The sequence below is a fragment of the Homo sapiens genome, chromosome 15 (genome assembly GCF_000001405.40).
Source record: "Homo sapiens chromosome 15, GRCh38.p14 Primary Assembly".
In the NCBI taxonomy this organism is placed as follows: domain Eukaryota; kingdom Metazoa; phylum Chordata; class Mammalia; order Primates; family Hominidae; genus Homo; species Homo sapiens.
The window spans coordinates 33,855,882-33,876,894 of NC_000015.10; the positions used below are offsets into that span (position 1 = coordinate 33,855,882).

The 21,013-nt window shown below is 43.6% G+C and overlaps 2 protein-coding genes across 27 annotated transcripts in view, besides 1 other annotated feature; one reads left to right on the forward strand and one right to left on the reverse strand.

Annotated features, from left to right (window-relative positions):
* Window positions 1-10,221, forward strand: part of RYR3 (ryanodine receptor 3) — a 555,136-nt gene extending 544,915 nt beyond the window's left edge. For 15 of the 16 annotated variants that reach the window (NM_001036.6, XM_017022468.2, XM_017022475.2 and 12 more), the window contains 6 exons: window positions 1,899-2,033; window positions 3,694-3,850; window positions 4,714-4,778; window positions 5,197-5,297; window positions 8,257-8,308; window positions 9,250-10,221. In NM_001036.6, coding sequence (NP_001027.3) covers window positions 1,899-2,033; window positions 3,694-3,850; window positions 4,714-4,778; window positions 5,197-5,297; window positions 8,257-8,308; window positions 9,250-9,345 — 606 coding nt within the window. In that variant the 3' untranslated portion in view covers window positions 9,346-10,221. Of the gene's footprint in view, window positions 1-1,898; window positions 2,034-3,693; window positions 3,851-4,713; window positions 4,779-5,196; window positions 5,298-8,256 lie in introns of all 16 variants that reach the window. The other variant, XM_047432931.1, reaches the window with a different exon arrangement.
* AVEN (apoptosis and caspase activation inhibitor) overlaps window positions 1-21,013 on the reverse strand; it is a 223,545-nt gene that overhangs the window by 4,101 nt on the left and 198,431 nt on the right. For 5 of the 11 annotated variants that reach the window (XM_047432882.1, XM_011521818.3, XM_024449999.2 and 2 more), the window contains 4 exons: window positions 20,044-20,114; window positions 15,054-15,149; window positions 11,614-11,974; window positions 10,346-10,847 (listed from right to left, as the gene is read on the reverse strand). In XM_047432882.1, the coding sequence (XP_047288838.1) occupies window positions 10,732-10,847; window positions 11,614-11,974; window positions 15,054-15,149; window positions 20,044-20,114 (644 nt within the window). In that variant the 3' untranslated portion in view covers window positions 10,346-10,731. Of the gene's footprint in view, window positions 1-431; window positions 9,161-10,345; window positions 10,848-11,613; window positions 11,975-15,053; window positions 15,150-20,043; window positions 20,115-21,013 lie in introns of those variants that run through there. The other 6 variants (XR_002957667.2, XR_007064478.1, XR_007064477.1 and 3 more) reach the window with 5 other exon arrangements.
* Window positions 2,440-3,639: an enhancer, noted in NCBI's record as "CDK7 strongly-dependent group 2 enhancer chr15:34150522-34151721 (GRCh37/hg19 assembly coordinates)". NCBI's record gives its function as "activates an origin of replication core promoter dependent on BRD2, BRD4, P300/CBP, MED14 and CDK7 cofactors, with strong dependence on CDK7, by STARR-seq in HCT116 cells {active_cell/tissue: HCT116}" and the evidence as "EXISTENCE:reporter gene assay evidence [ECO:0000049][PMID:35650434]".

Here is a 21,013-nt window from a genome sequence, read left to right on the forward strand (position 1 = left end):
AGATTCAAACTGTTTAGCATTTCATTCCTCATTAAGTACAAGTCTGTGTATGACAGACAGGCTTCCTCACATGTCCAAACCTTTGTACGGGAGAGGGAGAAAAGACGGAAGTTACAGTGTGCCAAGCTCATGCCGTGTCCCAGTTACTGTGACAGCCTCACAACTACCTGGTAAGGCACACGTTAAGCTCACTTTACAGATAAGAGAACTGAGGCTCAGAGCAGCTAAATGTCTCACCCAAGACCACACAGCTGCTAAGTGGCAGAGCGTAGATTCACCCCCTTTTCTTCCCTGATGCAAAGTCCAAGTTCTTTCTCTTTTTTTTCCTAAACCACCTGCTTTCTGTGAGGTCTGCTCTCCAAGGTTTGAGTCACTATTCTTCCCTCAAGTCTGCTGAATACATTTCCTCTGGTGCTGATCTTCACACTTACCCACTCCCTTTTGTGTGGCTCCTTGAAGGCAAAGCTCTGATCCTGTTGATCTTCCTATCTCCCAGCTCAATGCCTAGTCCTTGAGAGAGGTCAGATGTGCAGGTCCTGTGTACTCCTCACTTAAGCCAGTGAACTCTCACTCCTAAAGCCTGGAAGTAAGCGTGCCCTAGGACACTGCAAAGGGCCTGGGCAGAATTCTCTGTAATAAAAAGTGTGACTCAGCTCCACCATCATAATTCTTAGAGTAACTTCAAAGTTGTGACAATTATCCAGTGCATGATTATTTATGAAATAGTATAAGGTAGGGATATCCACCAGTCCAAAGAACCTTTGGGTTTTTTGTTTGTTTGTTTGTTTGTTTTTTTGAGACGGAGTCTCACTCTGCCACAAGGCTGAAGTGCAGTGGCGCGATCTCAGCTTACTGCAACCTCCGACTCCTGGGTTCAAGCGATTCTCCTGCCTCAGCCTCCCAAGTAGGTGGGATTACAGGCACACACCACCACGCCAAGCTAATTTTTGTATTTTTAGTAGAGACAGGGTTTCACCATGTTGGCCAGGCTGATCTCGACCTCCTGACCTCGTGATCCGCCCGCCTCGGCCTCCTAAAGTGCTGGGATTACAGGCGTGAGCCACCCCATGCCCGGCCTGGGGTTTTTTAAGCAGCAGCATTAGAGTAGAAGCTACATTGTGAAGCCTCAGGTAACAGCTAGCTCTGTATGAACAATAACAAAACACAATGTATCCCTCCTCACAGCACCTGCACTATTCAATACTTAAGTTCCTTTATATTTTACTTACGCCCAATCTAATGCCCTATACATTAGTCTGCTTGGGCTGCCAGAACGAAGTACTACAGACTGCTATTTTGTTAAACAACAGAAATGTCTTTTCGACAGTTCTGGAGGCGGTAAGTAAGTCCAGTATCATGGTGCTGGCAGCACCAGCACCTGGTCTCCTCAGGGGCCTCTCTGTGGCTGTAGACAGCACCCTCTCGCTGCCGCTTCCCCTGACCGTCCCTTCACGTGTGCCTGTGTCTAGCCTCTCTCTCTGTGTCTCCAACTCCTTTTCTTCTAAGGATGCCGGTGAGATTGGTTGCGGGCCCATCTTAACAACCTCAGTTTAACTTACTCACCTCTTTGAAGGCTGTATCTCCATCTCCAAATACAGTCACATTCTGAGGTACTGGAGGCCAGGACCTCAGCATATGAATTTGAAGGGACACAATTCAGCCCCCAACACCCCATCATTACTCTTTTCTGCCAGGAAGCCCGCTTCTCTTTACCTGTGGTGCCATCTTTCCTCCTCTGCTCATGGCCTGATAGCTTTCTTAGCCGCCCTCCACCCCTTCCCCATTTCCTCTCCTTGCCCGTCCTCACTCTTCCTCCTCGTTTTCTTAGAGTCTCCTGTGAACCTTTCAAGGTAGAGAAGACCCCACTCCTTTTCCTTTCTCTGTCCTCTCATTCCCAGTTGGTTCTGACTGTCGGTCTCCTGGCCGTGGTGGTTTATCTCTATACTGTGGTGGCTTTCAACTTCTTCCGCAAGTTCTACAACAAAAGCGAAGACGATGACGAGCCCGATATGAAGTGCGACGACATGATGACGGTGAGAGCCCACCCACTGCGGGGCCAGCCCACCCACTGCGGGGCCACCCCGCCCCACCACCTCACTGGGAAGAAGGGCTGTGTGGGGGTGCTCTTGAGAACTGTAGAGTTAGTTACAGAGCACAGCAGAGATTAAAGTAGAAGACAGATGTCTTCTCCAAACAGGAGAGTGTCCTGGGAAGACAGAAGTGATGGAGGTAGTTTTCATTACCACACATCTAAGCCCCGTGGAAAGGGAAGCACCCTGCACAGTGGCGTCATCATTCATCTATTTCCGGGGTAAAGATGAGACATTATTTTATTTTTTTGAGATGGAGTTTTGCTTTTGTCGCCCAGGCTGGAGTGCAATGGCGTCATCTCAGCTCATTGCAACCTCCGCCTCTCAGGTTCAAGTGATTCTTCTGCCTCAGCCTCCCTAGTAGCTGGGATTACAGGCATGCACCACCACACCTGGCTAATTTTGTATTTTTTTTAGTAGTGATGGGGTTTCTCTATGTTGGTCAGGCTGGTCTCAAACTCCCGACCTCAGGTGATCTGCCCACCTCTGCCTCCCAAAGTGCTGGGATTACAGGCGTGAGCCACTGCACCTGGCCAAGATGAGACATTATTATGAATGAAACCAGTGTCTAAATTTCATGGAAGTTGAGCTTTGATCATCGTCTCTCAGAACAGAGAGCAAAGTCCCATGGACCGGGATTAAGCACTTGATTTATTTCAGCAAGCCAGTCGGAGGTTCTTTGCGGACAGCCAGCAGCAGGATCAGGTTGGAGGTGGGGAGGGGGAGTCCCGTCAGGCCAGATCTTCGTGAGAAAAAAGGCACTGCCCAGAGTAAGCCAGCTTGGCTGCAGCAACATCGCCAGTTTATTTTGACCAGATTTCAGAAAAAGAATCTGTGTCTCAGGGACAGGGGACAGTGAAATGCCCAGTCTGTGAGCATCTCCATAAAAGAGGTAACACTTCTTGACGAAAAACTCTCCATGTGCTTTCTCGGGCCAAGCACCGTCATGAGACAGCAATCCTAGCCCCTAGAGTACTGGCATGACCAGCGTGTCTTCAGGCTGCCCCTGGCTTTTGATTTTCCAGGTGTAAGACGGTCCTTTCTCTGTGAGTCTAATCAACCCATCAGGTGGAGAGACAGAGGGTGCCCTGCTCAGGGAGCCCGTGCCTAGATTGGCTCAAACCTGCAGAACAGGAGGAGCAGAAAAGTCCATTACCTTTGACCTTCCTGCTGCAGGAATCCCTGCCCTACCAGGTGTAAGGGGAATGTGGATGAAGAAGAGGGGGGACCTTTTTGCAGTTTATAGCACAGCCTGAAGGCCAGGCTAACACTCTTAAAATTAAATGAGGAAAAATTATTATATGGCATAGGCCATACTCATCAAGGCTTAAAGATCTTTTAACTTATATACACCTTTAATGGGCCTAAAAATACCTTTTAAAAGCCTAAATGTAACGACAGTCTTTCCATCTTTGTAGATATCAAACTGTCCAGAGGGTGCAGTGGACAGCAGCTAGCAGCATGAATACTGGCACCTCTGAAGAGTTCCCCTCTCGTGGCTTAGGGCTGCCACAATCTGACCGAATCATATGAATGATCTGAGCATCTTGCTAAAAACAGAACTGTGACTTTTGCCTAAATCCCCCTTATTTTTCTTCTCTAGTGTTACCTTTTCCACATGTACGTGGGAGTGAGAGCAGGAGGTGGCATTGGTGATGAAATTGAAGACCCTGCTGGTGATCCTTATGAAATGTATCGCATTGTCTTTGACATTACCTTTTTCTTCTTCGTCATTGTCATCTTGCTGGCCATCATTCAAGGTATGATTGCCAATTGTGTTGAGTATGAACAGGGTTTAATCTAGTTCTTTTTGCTTTCTTCCATCTATGACTTAATTGGTTTATGAAGAAGCGTGTGAATTCATTTACTTGTTAATTTAGCAAGAACTAATTTAGCATCTACTATACCTGAGGCTTTGGCTATATATAAAGCCAAATACACACCCAGGCACAGTTATAAGAAGCTTCATCCATACAGAGGAACCCCTTCCTTCTGTTCCTCTACTCTGAATTATTTACTCCTCACTTCTGCTTCTGAGATCTCTCCTGTGGCTAGTCTTGTCCTCTTCATTTTCTTCCCAGAGAGGGAGGTAGGGTAGGAGCAGAGGAGCTGGACAGTGCAGGGGAGGGGAGGGAAAGAATGATATTTTAGTCAACAGCTTGTCAAGATTGGAGAAAGATGATAAATTTAGCTTGAGTCATGCTGAGTGGAGGAACCTGTAAGACATGCAGGTGTTGAGGGCTAAGAAGTGAAGTAACTGAGGAGGAACCCTGATCCACCTCAGTGTCAGAGGTGCTAGGAGAAGAGGGAGAGCCTATCACACAGACTGAACACAAATAGCTAAGCAAAATAGGAGACCAACCAGGGAGAAGTAGAAAGGAAAGAGTTTCAGGGAGGAGCAAGTAGTTAACAGCACTGCATGGTGTAGAAAGGTAGAGTTAGGAGGAACAATGAGAAATTGTTAGCCAGGATGTAACACAAAGAAACACGAGTATTATTTTTCTAATTTTGCTTTGATAATTCACTTTTTTTTTTTAACAGAACAAAGTAGCTTCTTCCTTTATCATTCCTCTACCCCTGAACCACTACACAGATTGCTTTGTCTTTGTATTTAACATTCCAGGTCTTATTATTGATGCTTTCGGAGAGCTAAGAGACCAGCAGGAACAAGTACGAGAAGATATGGAGGTAATGTTACTCTAACTACTAATCCCAGCTCTATTTTAATATCCCCAGAAGCAAATAGATTTTTTAAACAATAGGTTTTACTATTACTTAGGGCCAGTACTAAGCAAGAACGCAGTTTGTTTTCCATGCCCTGTTCTCTGCACCCTGCCATACCCCTGCCAGGCCGGCCACTCTGCTGCCTCCTCCACTGTCCCACAATAGGAGGGAGCAGTATCCTCAGCTAATCAGGAGCTAAGTGTATGGCACTACTGAGTGAATGACTAATAGCCAATGTATGGCACTACTGAGTGAATGACTAATAGCCAAAAGCATTAGAAAGAAAGTTTTCATTATCCTTCAATTCGATAGAATCATGACAGTTTTCTCTCCTGCCTATATTATGCCAACAAATGCCTTTTCTGCCTGTTATTTTTCTTAGACTAAATGTTTCATCTGTGGGATTGGCAATGACTACTTTGACACAACCCCTCATGGTTTTGAAACACATACATTACAAGAGCACAACTTAGCCAACTACTTGTGAGTATTCTTGGTTAACAAAAGTAATGGCAGCTGTAGCGTAAATAAAGCCAATTAGGTCATATAGTTCAGTCTCTGCTGGAAAAAGAGTAACCAGAAAGGAACTTCCAGGAGTCCCCATGAGCCTGTACCTTTGTCCATAGACTCTGTCTCTCCCATGTGTGATAGACGTGTGTTGTGGACAATTCCCGCTCCTAGCAAAAGGCCAGCCCCTCAACCTGTGATTGGATTCCATCCGGGACACATACCTCCAGCAATTTCTCTTTCTCTACTGGACTTCTTCTATCACCATATAAATATGCTTTTTTTTTTTTAATCCTAAACAAAGAAAAATCTGTGGCCCCACTTTTACTTCCAACTATTGCCCTACTTCTTTTTCCCTTTCAGCACAATTGAAAGCTGTCCATGCTCAGTCACTGTCTTCAATTTTTCTCTTTTCATTCTCCTGTGAACCTCCTACTGGCAGGCTTTCCTCCCACTACATCATAATATTGGGTCTTGTCAAAGGGGCCTGTAACCTGCATGTTGCTAAATTCTGTGTTCAGTTTTCAGGCCTCATCATGTCTGTCTTTTCTCATTAATAGCTAAGCCCCATGACCTGGGATATTTTTGGGCATGTCTGTTTTCATACTGCCTTTTTTTGTTTTTGTTGGCCAGGCTGGTCTTGAACTCCTGACCTCAGGTGATCTGCCTGCCTCGGCCTCTCAGTGCTAGGATTACAGGTGTGAGCCACTGTGCCCAGCCTCATACTGCTTTATCCCAGTACCTAGAACAATGCCTGGCACCCAGTAGGCAACTAATAAGTGTTTCACTTATTCTACGGTAAAGCATTCACTGAATAACAAGTTACTTGAACCTATTGGGTGCTAGGGACTTCCTATAAAACTTAAAACAGAATGTATAGAGTGTATAGATTTTATTACCTGATAACTCAGACCCTGTAACTGTTCATTTACAAGAAAAAAAATAAAATGCTGGGCTCTGCTCCCCAGCCTAGCTCTTCCCCCTTCTCTCTCTATTTTGTAGCTTAGAGAGTCCTCATCTTTCGAGATAGATAGGGTCTCAACCCCGTTGCCCAGGCTCGAGTGCAGTGGTATGATCTTGGCTCACTGCAACCTCCACCTCCCAGGCTCAAGACATCCGCCTCAGCCTCCTGAGTAGCTGGGACAGGTGTACCACTAATTTAGCACCAGCTAATTTTTTTTTTTGGTAGAGAAGGGGCTTTGCTGTATTGCCCAGGCTGATCTCGAACTCCTGAGCTCAAGCTATCCACCCACCTTGGCCTCCCAGAGTGCTGGGATTACGGGTGTGAGCCACTGGGCTGAGCCCTCATCTTTCTTTAGGCTAGAGCAGGCTCAGCCTTTGGAGAAGGCATTGTCAGAAGTGGCAAAGATAACATGTTTTTGCTGGGGGATGAGTTTAAGTCAAAAACATGAGTTTTGTTTTTTTATTTATTGAGACAGTCTCTGTCACCCAGGCTGAAGTGCAGTGGCGCCATCTTGGCTCACTGTAGCCTCCACCTCCTGGATTCAAGTGATTCTCCTGCCTCAGCCTCCTGAGTAGCTGGGACTACAGGCACCTGCCACCATCCTGGGCTAATTTTTGTATTTTTAGTAGAGACAGGGTTTCACCGTGTTGGCCAAGCTGGTCTCAAACTCCTGACCTGAAGTGATCCACCTGCCTTGGCCTCAGCCTCCCAAAGTGCTGGAATTAGAGGCGTGAGCCATCACACCCGGCCTCAAAAACTTGAGTTTTAAAAAGATAACTTTACTGTGCCCTTCCTCATGAGTATTTATCATCAATTCCCATTAAGAGAATATACATCTTAATGGAGGTTAATGAGCCCATGGCCACGTGTCTGTACCCATGGGTTATAGACCAGTGGAAGGATGCTGTCCTTTGGGTTGGAACCCCTTCTGTGCCTTCCCATGGCACTGTTACACTGGTCTCTTTCCTATCTCTATCCCCTCTAGGAGCAAGCTTGAGGGGAAAGAACCCAATTTTATTCGTGTTTGAGCCTCCCACCTAAAATGGTGCTTTGTTAAATAAATGTGCTGGGCAAGGAATGATGTCCTCAGCCCCTACGTATCAAACAGGATAAAGAGATTAACCCTACTGTCTTTCTCAGTAAATGAGAAGCGGAAAGGCAGTGAACATACTTAGAGCTGCTACTGTGGGCCAGGACCTGACGCTCTATACACTATACCACCATGACAGAACTCAAGATCTGGGGCTTAGACTCTCCACCCTCAGAAGGACATAATTTCTACTTTCTCATATCACCAACTTCACAATCCTTTTCCGGAAGGGCAAGAGCCTGGTTCCTTTGGAAACGGTCTCTGAGATCATATAATGTGAGCTGAGAGTTCAGCCCCTGCCCCCTGGGATACTTATGTGTCACAGACAAACTCAAACCTAAGATATGGATCACAGAGCAAGTGAAACTACACTGGCATTCCCGCAGCTATTTATGATGAAAACAAAACTATAGTTCTGGAAGAATCTCCATGAGATTAAATACTTTCTAACTTTTCCATGACAGATATTCTTGAGACACACACATAATTAATTTCAATTCAATTCTACATTTTTATGAGATGATAAATGGCCTGTTAAATATTCTATGGTAAGAATTTGGGCTACCATTTTATTGTTTTATTAGAATTTTGTTAACAATAAAATGGTGGCCAAAATGCTACCTTGCAAGTGATCTTACTTAGTTCAAGGTATAGGGATGGCAAAAAGCATCTCTCCTCACAAAGTGGCTAATTTTGAGATTCATGTGTGCTACTATTAGAAAATGATGGTTTGTGTCCTTATGCCACACTTCCCTGATCATTTAAGTCACTGTAGATAGCGTGGGACCAACTAGCCTTTCTGAGCCCTGATCACAGTTAATCCATGCGAATGAACTTGGGTCTTGACCAGAGTATCTAATACTATCTTTTCCTCGTTCCAGGTTCTTTCTGATGTATTTGATTAATAAAGATGAAACAGAGCACACGGGTCAGGTGAGAAATTAAGAATCATATACCCGTGTTAGATCTCCCTTTCCTAAATCTTGAGACTTAGTAGGGCATAGGTTATCTGAAATACATACATGGCCCCATTAATCCCGTGAATGCATTTTCCCATCACCTTTTTGTGACTCAATAAGAAGCCAAAGTCCTCCTGTTTATCCTTCCCAACAAACACTGACATTTTCTAAATGCTTATAGCTACTGCTTCAGACTAGAAGAGCTGGAGGTGGGGAGAACATTACAGAGACAATATGAAATAAGAAATTGTCTGACAATAAGAAATGGAGTGGGTGGCTGCAACAAAGAGCAGAAAAATCAGAGTACAACGGAGTGAGAGACAGGCTAAGAAAGATAACGACCTCATGTGTGGGTGACACAGGAGCCTGGAGGTGTGCATGTGAGAGGATGAGTGAAAGGATGTGTCAAATTTTGTGACTAAATGTGAAAAAGAAATGGAAAGGTAGAGAACAAGGGAGGAAAAAGTCAGTTATCAAATATTCAAACATCATTGGCTTTGTAGGAAAACTTTACAGTTCACTCATTCAATGGGAGAGGTACCTGGTTTCCAGCTCTGGATTCAGCATGCAATAAACGTTCCCTCAAGCATTCCTCCGTCTTCCACCAGCGGCATGGAATCAGCTTATTGCTAAATCTTTAAGTATGTTTAGTGGCAAACATTGATTGGTTTCAGTTTTGCTTGTTTGGGGCAGAGGGGGATTTTTCTCCTTCCCTGCCAGCATGTGTCAGAGAGACATGGCTTCTTGCTTCCCAAACAGCCTGTGCTGGGAATAGAGCAAGAATGAATGTGCAGGTTTGGCCTCATATAAATTCACATCAGTCTTCCTAAAGGGAGCCACAAAGAACAAAAACAAACTGGGTTTTAGCTTTTACTGTGGTTTAAAAATAAGCACCCGTTGTTCATATTATTTCAGGAATCTTATGTCTGGAAGATGTACCAAGAAAGGTGTTGGGATTTCTTCCCAGCCGGTGACTGCTTTCGTAAACAATATGAAGATCAGCTTGGATAAATCTGAATCAAAGAAGCGCGACAATTCTGGACAGTCAACTTCCCATGAAATAAAGTCCCCTTTTTACAGTTCTGCAACATATCTGAAATGTGACATTTTCTAAATGCCTCCCTTAAAAAAAAAACTGCTGAAAATCTGTGCTATTTTGAAATTGATTTGGCTTTTTGTGCCTAATGGACATACACTGTGGGAGAGAACCTGTCAAAATGTCGAAGAAGGAAGGCGAAGAATCAAGTAATCTCTAGGCAAATGCCTTCAAGTTTTCCAGTTCTGAGGTAACTAGTTCAGTTTGTTGGGATGGAAGCATGAAGGAAAGGGCTAGAGAAGTATGAAATCTCGAATGTGTAATACCTGAAAATTTAAACACTTGAATGTCATCATGGTATCCAACTTGTGACTCATAGGGTCTGAACTCACTCCAAAAGATAATAACTGCAGTCTAATTTTTCCCATGGTACTTGCTAGTGACTGTATCCAGAAAAGCTTTAAGCAGTTAAAGAAACAGAAAAAAACCGACACTTTGTCGACACTGAAATATCGATTAAGTGCCTTAAAACCTCTTTAGACATAGCTATGCAAGTTTTTTATGTTTGTGTTCCAGAAGGACAGTTCCATTCATTAGTTGTGATCTTCCGTCTTACTTTATGAAACTGCACTTGAAGGTTATTCATACAAGTTTTTTTAGTAACAGCTGTCAGTCAACTGCTGTTATTAGAAGAAAAGTACTGTACTGAAAATTCAGAAAAAAAATCTCAACCTTATGCCAAAATGGAGTAATGCTTTATGGTCCCTTGTAAGTAGTGGAGCTGCTCTGTTTAGGTGAATCTCCTCAAATACAATGAAGTGCCCACTGCAATAAAGTAATACGTACCAATACCTCCAGGGTCTGGACTCTTGGAATGTACCACTTCTGGTTGATTCTACAACCACTCTGTGACTGCTGGGAAAGGGGACATGAGACGAATTGCCCAGGGCCCCACACAAGAAAGGAAAGGAAAACTGGACAGACCAGCATTTGTTTATTTTGGCCAAATGCATGCCTTGTTTGCATCTATTCTCTTAATCAGCAGCAGCATCTGCTATGCTGTAAACACTGGCTATGTTGTAAACACTGCAAGGAAGGAGGCTAGAAACAAGGGCCAGAGTCTATCTCCTGCCCTTAAGGAAATCTATTAGATTACTAAGCCAGAAAAACAAATGCAACAAGCTGCTTCAATGTATTCTTTCAGATGTCAAACACAGAGGTAGGCATTTACTGCTGTGAGCATAATGGAACACACTAGCTTGAGACATGCTTGTAAACTGGCTGGTCCTGAAGGACAGCCTTATGCCCACCTGCCGTTAGAAGGCAACCAAGATTTGCTTCAGGCACTTTTTTTCCCCTTTTTAGGAAATCATGCTGTCCAACCAGTCTTCCAGCTCTTCCTCGGTAACATTTTTGGAGGTACTTGGTTGCTCAGGTTCCATGTTTTTTTCTTCAGTCACAGATGGTTTTGCACAAACTGGGGGAAAAAAAACAATGTTAACACCCTCAGATGAGTCCTAAAATTGAAGGTATAATTCAGCCCAATTTATTACTTTCCTTACAACAAGGGGAAACATTCTCATTATTCTTACTCCCTAAGATGATACAGTAATATCTAAACAAATAAAGCTGGGTAGAGGATTTGCTCTTTATTCTGAAGTTGAACTTCACACCTTGCTAGTTGGTTTTTTTTTCAAAGACCAACAGCTCAGTTTCCTTTTTACTATTATTATTGCAGCAGTCCTGGAAAATTAAAGGATCTCAAATGTAATACATGCATGTGGCAATCACCTTAGGCCCCTCTACATCAGATGGGCCACTATCTCACAGGACATGCAGAAATCAGAATGTGGTGTTCTTTTGTCAAAATATAAGACAGAAATAGCAAGAAAAAGGTATGAAGAGGTGGCCTGTCAGTCGATTAAAAGGGCCACTGCCAAAAAGCTGAAGGCTACAGGTATCCTAATGCCTTCTGATAGCGGAAATTCCATTTGCAGCCCCAGGTTTCTACTGCAGTCAGGCAGGTAGCAGCTTTGGAAGCTTGGTGTGTCGCGTGAGAGGAAGGTTGTCAGAAAGGTCAGCTCAGGGGGAAGCAGAGACGTGAGCACAGAAATAGATGTCAGTGGACAACACTGGATCAATGTCAGACACCCAGAGGGATGTGTGCGGATGTGATGCGGGCGGGGCTGTTCTTGAAAAAACACCAGAATCAAGATTCACGGGGAATAAAATGAAAGCCATACCTTCTTCCTCTTGGACCACCTCCCCATCTTCCTTGGATTTCAGGTCCTGAGACGTCTGATCTGGTAAGATGTTATCTCCCTCTTTTATAGGTGCATCTAAATTAAGCAACAGATCTAGTTCTTCTTCCAAATGGTCTCCTGCTGACTGCAGTGGGGAAGTGGGTTTCTGAGAATCCCTTGAAGGACCCGGGCTTGGGTTGTCTTTGCCCAGCAACACAGGGCAGCCAGCAGCCACAGATTTCAGCTCAAAGATGGGCCCCCTTCCTCCAGGCCCCAAGGGCCCCTTTAACTGCATCCCTAATCCCTTGCCATCATCAGTTCTCTTTGGTTTCACCTGAGGAACCTCTAAAGGAACTGTACCCTGAAAGAGAAGTATAAAAACTGAGTTAAAAATGTGAGTCTTGCCATATTGGCTTAAGTAAATACATAGGAGGCTAAACGAAGCCATCAAACTTTGTGACAGAGGAAACTCAATTCAGATAGTTCACAAAGTGGCTCCTTTCCAGGCCCTGGTGGGGGCACCCTTCCTGACATCTGGGGTAAATGTGGGAGACCTCACTGAAACATGCCAGCACTGTGCCTCCCACTCTCCCTACCTTGACCATGTGCTAACTAGCTCAGATTTGGAATGAAAAGATCCATGTCTTCCTAGCCCTGGCCTGAAAACTGCCAGTACCATAGGTCTATTTGGCTTTACACTTAAATCTGTATTAAGACATGAACATCTATAAAAAGTCACCAAGAAGTGGCCAGGCGCAGTGGCTCATGCCTGTAATCCCAGCACTTTGGGAGGCCAAGGTGGGTGGATCATGAGGTCAGGAGATTGAGACCATCCTGGCTAACATGGTGAAACCCTGTCTCTACTAAACAAACAAACAAACAAACAAACAAAAAACAAAAAAATTAGCCAGGAGTGGTGGAGAGTGTCTAGTCCCAGCTACTCGGGAGGCTGAGGCAGGAGAATGGCGTGAACCTGGGAGGCGGAGCTTGCAGTAAGCTGAGATTGTACCACTGCACTCGAGCCTGGGCAACAGAATGAGACTCCGTCTCAAAAAAAAAAAAAAAAAAAAAAAAGTCACCAGGAAGTAATTAGCAAATCAGATCTGTTCATTGTATTTAAGTGCACTAATATAAAGGTGCAGTAACAAATTCACCAAGACTCTCCTTGGTAAAAAATGCCAGACACAAAAGAAAATACACTATTTGATGATTGTATTTGTAAAAAGTTCAAAAGCTACGGTATTAGAAGTTAGGTGAGCGAGTGCCTTTTGGGGAGAGAGTGACGTGGAGTGTGTATGAATGGTGGCTTCTGAGGTGCTGACAATATTCTAAGTCTTTATCCGGATGCTCATTCCATGTATACTTACATGTGCACTTTTCTGAATCGATGTTATACTTTAATAAAAGTTACAAACTCCCCCGGTGATTGTAATACAAGGTTATAATCTAAGGCTGAGAATCACCGCTCTCGAGGGAAGGCTCCAGGGATGAGCAAGGCCTCACAGTGGGCAGGTTCAGAAGTTCAACCTCTACTGGAGGTCCTGACCCCTTATTTTTACATAAACATCCTGAGCAGACATGTAAGACGGTATGGCTTTATATACAAACAGGAATAAATATCCAGCAGAGTCAGTCAGTTGTACAGGGCAAAGCTGGGACATGGTCCTCTATTCTAATCTTAGAGTCATTTAATTGTTCTGGGGTGGGTGTCTGGCCTTGTTTTTGTTTGTTTTTAACTCCCCAGGTGATTCTAATGTGCAAACAAGGTAGAGAATACTGCTCTACAGCATGGGTGGGGGAGAAATGTTTCTAAGTGATTTAGCCAGGATTTCAATGTCACATAATTATTTTATACCTTTAATGCCTGCCACTGACATTACAACCTTCACTTCAAACACTCACAACCACTTCCTCTCTGTCCTGAGTCCTGAATCCTTTATCTCAGCATTTCCCTGGTGAGTTCTGCTAAACATTCCTCATCATATGAGATCAAGCCAAGCACTTCAGAACTTTGAACATCACTGGACATCAGCAGAAGAGCCACTAGTGCTCTCCCAAACACCCCCAAATGTTTCCAAAGAACCCCCAGGGCAATCCCCCATCAGAGGCAAATGTAATTCTTTCTAGTTCTCTACCCTGTCCCTAACTGTCCTCCATCCCTGAACTCTGCCTGCTGTCCCAAATTTTAGACTAGTAAATGCTATACAGCAAATGAATGGGTAACCAATTCATTACTATGCTCAAGCTTAGCATCACATTCACCCACAGAAGGAAGTTGATAATTTCAGTTGCTAGGATTCTACTTAAAATCAGTACGTCCCAAGGTTTCACTTTTTTTTTTTTTTTTGATCGTGCCAGAATGTTGAAGTTCTTCATGGCATAATCTTTGGGCCTCCCCCTCTCTTAGTTCATCAATTATCACTTCATCCTGTTATCTCCTGAATTTGTATTTCTAGCCCTTGATGTAGAACTATAAAGTTCAGCATTCAGTTGACTGTTATTTCCACTTGGATATCTCAGAGGCACAAACTCATAAAGTCCAAAACTCACCCTTCCTGATCCTACCACTGAGTTGCACAATCTACAAAGTCTTGAATTTTTTCTTGACCACTCTCTCCCAATTTCCAATATACCGTCAAATCCTGTTAATTGTACCTTTGAAGTACCTCAGTACAGCCCTCTCCTCTGCCATCTCCACCGTCATTACTGTAGTCCAAGCTACAGTACTACTCACCTGCACCTGTACAACAGCCTCCCCATGTGCCTCCCTCACCTGCTCTGTGCATGTGTATGTGCACATGCAGACTTACCCCCACACATGCACTCCAATCCCACAGTCTTCTCTACTTGGCAGCCCCATCGTTTTTATTAACGCAAAGCTGACTGGGTCTTTCTCGTTTAAATGCCAGCTCAAATGTCCTTATGCTTTAGACCTCAGCTCATCTATCACTGCTTCAGAAAGCCATTCCTAACCACACCACACCAGAAACTGATTTACTCTAAAAGCACACTGTACTTCACAGGATGTATTACAATTTGTATATGTTTGTGTGACTATTTGATTAATATTCATCCTTCCCAATAGATTAAGTTCCAGAAAGGCAGGAACGACATCTGTCTGTTCACCACTGTGTCCCTAGTGCCGAACATAGAGCGTGATGCGTAAATATTTTGAGTAAAATAGCCAGACTTTATATTTTACATTTCACTCAATTCCACTACATTTGATCCTTTAAAATGTTTCAAATATAAAATATAAAAAAGTAACTTCAAAAAATTTTTGGATTCTCCTTTAAACTTTACAAAATGCTACCTTGATATGAAACCCTCACTTTTATAAAGGGAAGCTGACACTGAGACATCCTGCTGAGGGAAGTGTTCCCCTCTTTTTCTCCTCCTGCCCTAATCCACCCGCTTCAAGAGGGCTTCGGGATTTTTACCTGGACCAGTTCGGCAGCAACGTTGAGTCGGAGGCAGAGAGGCAGCTCTTGAAGGGCTCGAACCAATAACTCACTATCCACATAAAATGCTGAATTCTATATATATATATAAAAGAAAATAAAATATCAGGTGATGATTATGACCTTTTGGAAATAAAAGAAGAAACTGTAAATAATCCACTGGAGTTACATTTGGCTAGGAATAAGTCACACCATACATCACACTTATGTGTTAGAGTTTCTGCATCTCCACATTATGATCAGTAAAACCAAAGCTACCTTCTTGAGCCACAGCTCACACTGTCAGAGCAACAACAGGGCAATGATCATCCTCCCATCAAGACTGTCCAGGCTGGGCGCAGTGGCTCATGCCCGTAATCCCAGCACTTCAGGAGGCCGAGGCGGGTGAATCACCTGAGGTTAGGAGTTTGAGACCATCCTAGCCAACATGGTGAAACCCTGTTTCTACTGAAAATACAAAAAATTAACTGGGTATGGTGGCTGATGCCTGTAATCCCAGCTACTCGGGAGGCTGAGGCAGGAGAATCGCTTGAACCTGGGAGGCAGAGGCCGCAGGGAGCCGAGATCGCAACACTGCAAAACAGCCTGAGCAACAAGAGTGAAACTCCATCTCAAAAAAAAAAAGACTGTCCAGTAACCTGGAAACGGTGGAGGCTTTTGCAATGACTGACAAGCTGAAAGAAAAGCAAGCATTTAATGAAATCTAACCTGATCTCTTCTCTAAATTCAGACTGCTGGCCTCAGAAGAGGAAAGGGCTATTTAGGCAGTGAGAAGGGACTGACAGGTGTTGCGAAGGTTTCAAACGAGCTAGTCTCCTCAAAAAAAAAAAAAAAAAGCCACTTTGTAAGAAGGCTTTCTTTTTTGGTCACCAGTTTGCCCCATAAAGGGCTAAAGCTGAAGAAGGCCTTAGATATAAAGTTAGCTGCAGTGAATTGCTTTTAATACTAAACTGTGAATTTTAAAAATAGGTTTAATTGGAATAATAATAAATCAGCATTTTGTACATGTTTTAAAGTATTCGGTGCATTATTTTTGCCTGGGTAACCCAGCTCCCATGTCAGCCTGGTCAACCCTGGCAGCCACTTGGCAGTTGAAGTAGAGGGCCTGGCCTACGACATCTGGCTGCAGACAGGAGCAGACAACACCCACTAAGGATGCTATGGGGGTGGGGTGTAAAGAGAAAGGAGACACTCCAGTGCTGGGGAGAGGGGAGCCAGTCCTGACTGTAGGACAAAGCCTTTCTGTCCCACTTCTCTGCCATCAGTGTGCACAGGACCCTGTCTGTGTGCTGAGAATCTGCAAGCCTGAAGCTTCCTCTCTGGCCAGGAATCATAAGACTCTGAGTGTCCAGTATCTGTATAAAGGCACACTCTTTAGTAAGAAAAGAACCCGCTATATACTTCACTTTGCAGCTAAAAAACATACCCTTCAATCAGACTATTACATCCTCCTCAGAATCTACAGCAATTACTGTCCATATGAGCCTGGGGCCCAGAGACCATGTGTACATGGTATGGTGGAGTAATAAGCTGGGCAGCTTTTTAAGATACAGGTTCACAGGCCTCACCCACAGAACTGAACTCTCTGGGTGGCGTGGGGGGAGCCGGGAATCTGTGCCTTTAAAAGCCAGGCCCTCAGGAACGGCCGCATATCACTCAGCAGCCAGCAGTTTGCTCAGCAGCCAGCAGTTTGCTCAGCAGCCAGTATATTGCCCAAGGAAGTCCTACTGGATAAGTCACCATGTCAACAGAAATTTAATGTGGAATTTTAAAAACTTAGGTGATTTAAAAAATAATAAATCTGTTTGTTCACCCAGGGAAATTACCTTCCCACTCATCCTCTCTTTACATGGTACCCACCCTGTCCAAAGGAAAGGTATGAGAATCCCACTTGTGGATCTAAGAGACCGACACCCCTGTGGTCATGGAGGCCAACATAGCTAGATCAGAGCACCCTGACCGCCGACCTGTGTCCCTTCACCCTGCGTATCAGCCACAGAGCAACGAACGCCAAGTCCAAGCCGTGACGCCCGGTCCCTCTCCTGCCAGGATTCCCTTGAGGATTTTGGACATGTCTCCCTATCAAACTCCCACTCCCTTTAACTGCAAAGACAAAACATATTTCTACTTTTCCTTTTCTTTTTTTTTTTTTTTTTTTTTTTTTGAGATGGAGTCTCTCTGTTGCCCAGGCTGGAGTGCAATGGCACGATCTCGGCTCACTGCAACCTCCGCCTTCTTGGTTCAAGCGATTCTCCTGCCTCAGCCTCCCAAGCAGCTGGGATTACAGACGTGCCCCACCACGCCCAGCTAATTTTTGTATTTTCAGTAGACGCAGGGTTTCACCATGTTGGCCAGGCTGGTCTCGAACTCCTGACCTCAGGTAATCTGCCCACCTCGGCCTCCCAAAGTGCTGGGATTATAGGCGTGAGCCACTGCGCCCGCCCCCTCTCTATTGTCTTGCGTCACTGGTCACACTGAGGACATGGGATGGTATAAGGAACAACAAATTACATATATGTGTGTGTGTACATATATATAATATATAATATATATATACACTCAACATATAATATATATTATATATATGCACTCAATATATAATATACGTATTATATATTACATATAATTATATATAATACGTATTATATATTATATATATCCAGTTTTTTCTCTTACATCAACAAGGAAGAAAATTTAGTGAGGAGTTAAGTCAGACAGGAAATCGTTTTGATGGTGAAATGAATTCAGTTTCAGCCATGTCCTACCAACACCTCCAACTCGAACTGTTCAAAATCAAACTTAACTTCTTTCTGCTCTTATTTTTTTCCATTCATGGCATCACCACTCACCTAGTTACTCAAGCTAGAAAGCATAGTGCCATTGCAAATCTTTCTTGTCCTTGTGTCTCACATCTGGCCAGTGAGCACAGTTGACCCCATCCTCCACTCAAGTCTTGTCTATGAGTAACCCCTGTCCCACGCTCACTGCCTGACCCTCTCAGGCTCTCGTTCTTTCCCATTCGTCCAACATCACATCCTCCTAATCGGTTTCCCTGCCTCTAACCTCTCATCTCATCCGTTCAATCCCTCCCCATCCTTCCCAATACTGCTGAAGTTAGATCTAACCATTTCCATGTTCTTGCTAAACAAAACTTTGTTAACAGATAATATTAGTAATAAAAGAGCTCATTTTGAGTGTTTCATATGCATCAGGAACTGCACTCAAGGGCTTTTTATTTATTATCTAATTTAGTCCTTCTTATAACTCTGAGTTATATTTTGTTATTACCTCCATTTTACAGGTGAAGCAATAGAGAAGGAAAAAGTTTGCCCAAGTCTCAGATCTAGAATTCACACTCAGGTCTGAAACTGCTGGTACTAACTAGCCCACACCTGCCCCTGAGGCCTCCTCCTCTGGGAATACTACACTCTGGCCACACCCTTCTCTGAGCATAACCTCGTTTTCCTGATCTTACCATTTTCATGTTGTTTCCTCAGACAGGACCTACCAGAGTCACACTTGTCCACCAAGACCCGTTCAAATGATCTTTTCCCCATGGTACCAATTCTAATCACTTCCAGTGCAAAGTAGCTATCTCTCTCAGTATTGTTAATTCATTCATCACACCCCTTATTTTAGGTTGTATTCTTTTTCATGTATTAGGTAAATATCTACTGAGCATCTACCATACTACAGACTACAGGTCACCGAGTGTGCCCAGGTAAGGGGCTTAGAGCAATGAACAGGCATGGTCTGTCTCATTCACTTTGAATAAGCTCCATTTAATAAAAACATTTAGTAAACAAGTGCTCTATGTTTTGATGAATGACGAAGCTTAGAATTATTTGAAACTCTGAAGCTACTTGAAATATTCTTTGGTAATCAGTATGGTTCAAAAGGAGATGAAATGTAAATTGTTCGGCTTCTACCATATTCCTCAACAATCTATCTTCGATGTGTCCTAGAATACTAAACAGTACCTCAGGCGTAGGCCCAGACTTAAGCAAAGACAAATATTTGTAATTCTCACCTTTTTCTATGGCATATATAACACGTTCTTTGTAAAGTGCCAGGCAGTCATTTTCTAAGAGACTCCCCTCCTCGTAATCCGTATGCGTCAAAGGCCATCCCAAACAATTGAGCCTAAAACCAGCCCACAGATCAAACGAGCCACCCACAGCACATACGCTGATGTGGGAGCAGAACAGGGAGGACAGTGCCTACGGGCTTCGGGTCTGCAGCTTCAGCCACCTCTCTGAAGCTGGGGGCAGATGGTAATCAGTTTATCAGACAGTATGCTCTAGGCCTGGAGTTGGGGAGCATATCACAAGTCACCACTATGTCCCTATGTGCATCCTAAAAGGGGGAGAATATCTGTCATCTCTTATATGAAAAGAATTAGAGGAAGCCTGCTTGGAAAATAATCAGAACTCCTTGGGAAGAAAATATTACATACACACAAAGAAAATAAGGCATTTGGGGTTGAGAGACTTGCTGAAAGACTTCTATAATATTTGCCCTTATTTTATACTTCTATTCTCCTAATTGTAGGAGAAGTGTTATTTAAAGCTGCAAGGTTAAGGGTTTTCTCAACCTAACACCAAAAACAGTGAGAGACAGAAAACTAATTTTCAACTCTCAAGGGAATTGTCAAAGCGTGGCAAAGGAGGAAGACCAAATGGCAAAGTAATCCACTCTGTCAAAATCACGGCTATCAAGTTTCTACCTCGAGACCCCGTCCATGTGGGCTGCATAATTCACACAGATGGCCAGGTAGAAAGGTGAACTCTAGCTTCAAGGACCTGTGGAATTTCAGCCCCCTGAAAATTTTCTGAAAAGTTTAGCTGAGGGTACACTGTAAGAATTACTACTCTTTTCTACATGAAGACTCTATCTCAAGAACGTAAAAGGTGTTAGCCTTCAGCCTTGAAGAAGAGCCAGTCCACACTTAACACAACTCTTATCTTACCTGTTTTGGACAAGAAGCTTCACTATCCCATTCTTTCTCCTCAGCAAACCGGAACTGTGAGAATGAGTCCCCTAGGAATAGGAAAAAAAAAAAAATTTATGCAAAAGCCAACGGAAACTCTCAGTTCTCTAAATTTCCCTGCTAGAGCAAAAGTGCCATTTCTGAAGTGCTCAAACTCAAAGGGAGAGGCAAGGATAAAACTGGAACATACCTCCAACTCCATTTCCAAAATTACAAAACACACAGATGACAATGTTAACATTTGATAAGATTAAATGTAAGGCAAAAGGACCAAGAAAAAAGGATAAAATCACTACTCTTAGTCATTGGTAAATAAATTTGATCCCTCAAAAAGTTATGACATAGGCCAGGCACACTGGCTCACACCTGTAATCCCAGCACTTTGGGAGGCTGAGGCGGGTGGATTACTTGAGGTCAGGAGTACAAGACCAGCCTGGACAACATAGTGAAACCGTGTCTCTACTAAAAATACAAAAATTAGCTGGGCGTGGTGGCACGTGCCTATAATCCCACCTACTTGGGAGGCTGAGGCAGGAGAATCGCTTCAACCCGGGAGGCGGAGGTTGCAGTGAGCCAAGATCATGCCACTGCACTCCAGCCTGGGTGACAGAGTGAGACCCTATCTCAAAAAAAAAAAATTATTACATAAAGCCTCTGAATAATATAATTAATAAGACCTTGTATTTGTGGATATACATGTGTATATGTGCATACCACAACAGACTTAAACTTTCTCTTTAGAAGAGGTTATCAGCCTCTACTGTCACTCCAAAAATCACCTGGTCAGAATGTCAAACATATTTTGATAGGTGTGTGTACTTACTTTATAAATATCAATGTAACACTAATTTTTAAAAAGGACTGTATAAGACCAAGAAAAAATTAATTCTAAAATGTAGCAGCCATACAAATCATATTCACTGATGTAAGCAAGCAGAAATTAACCACA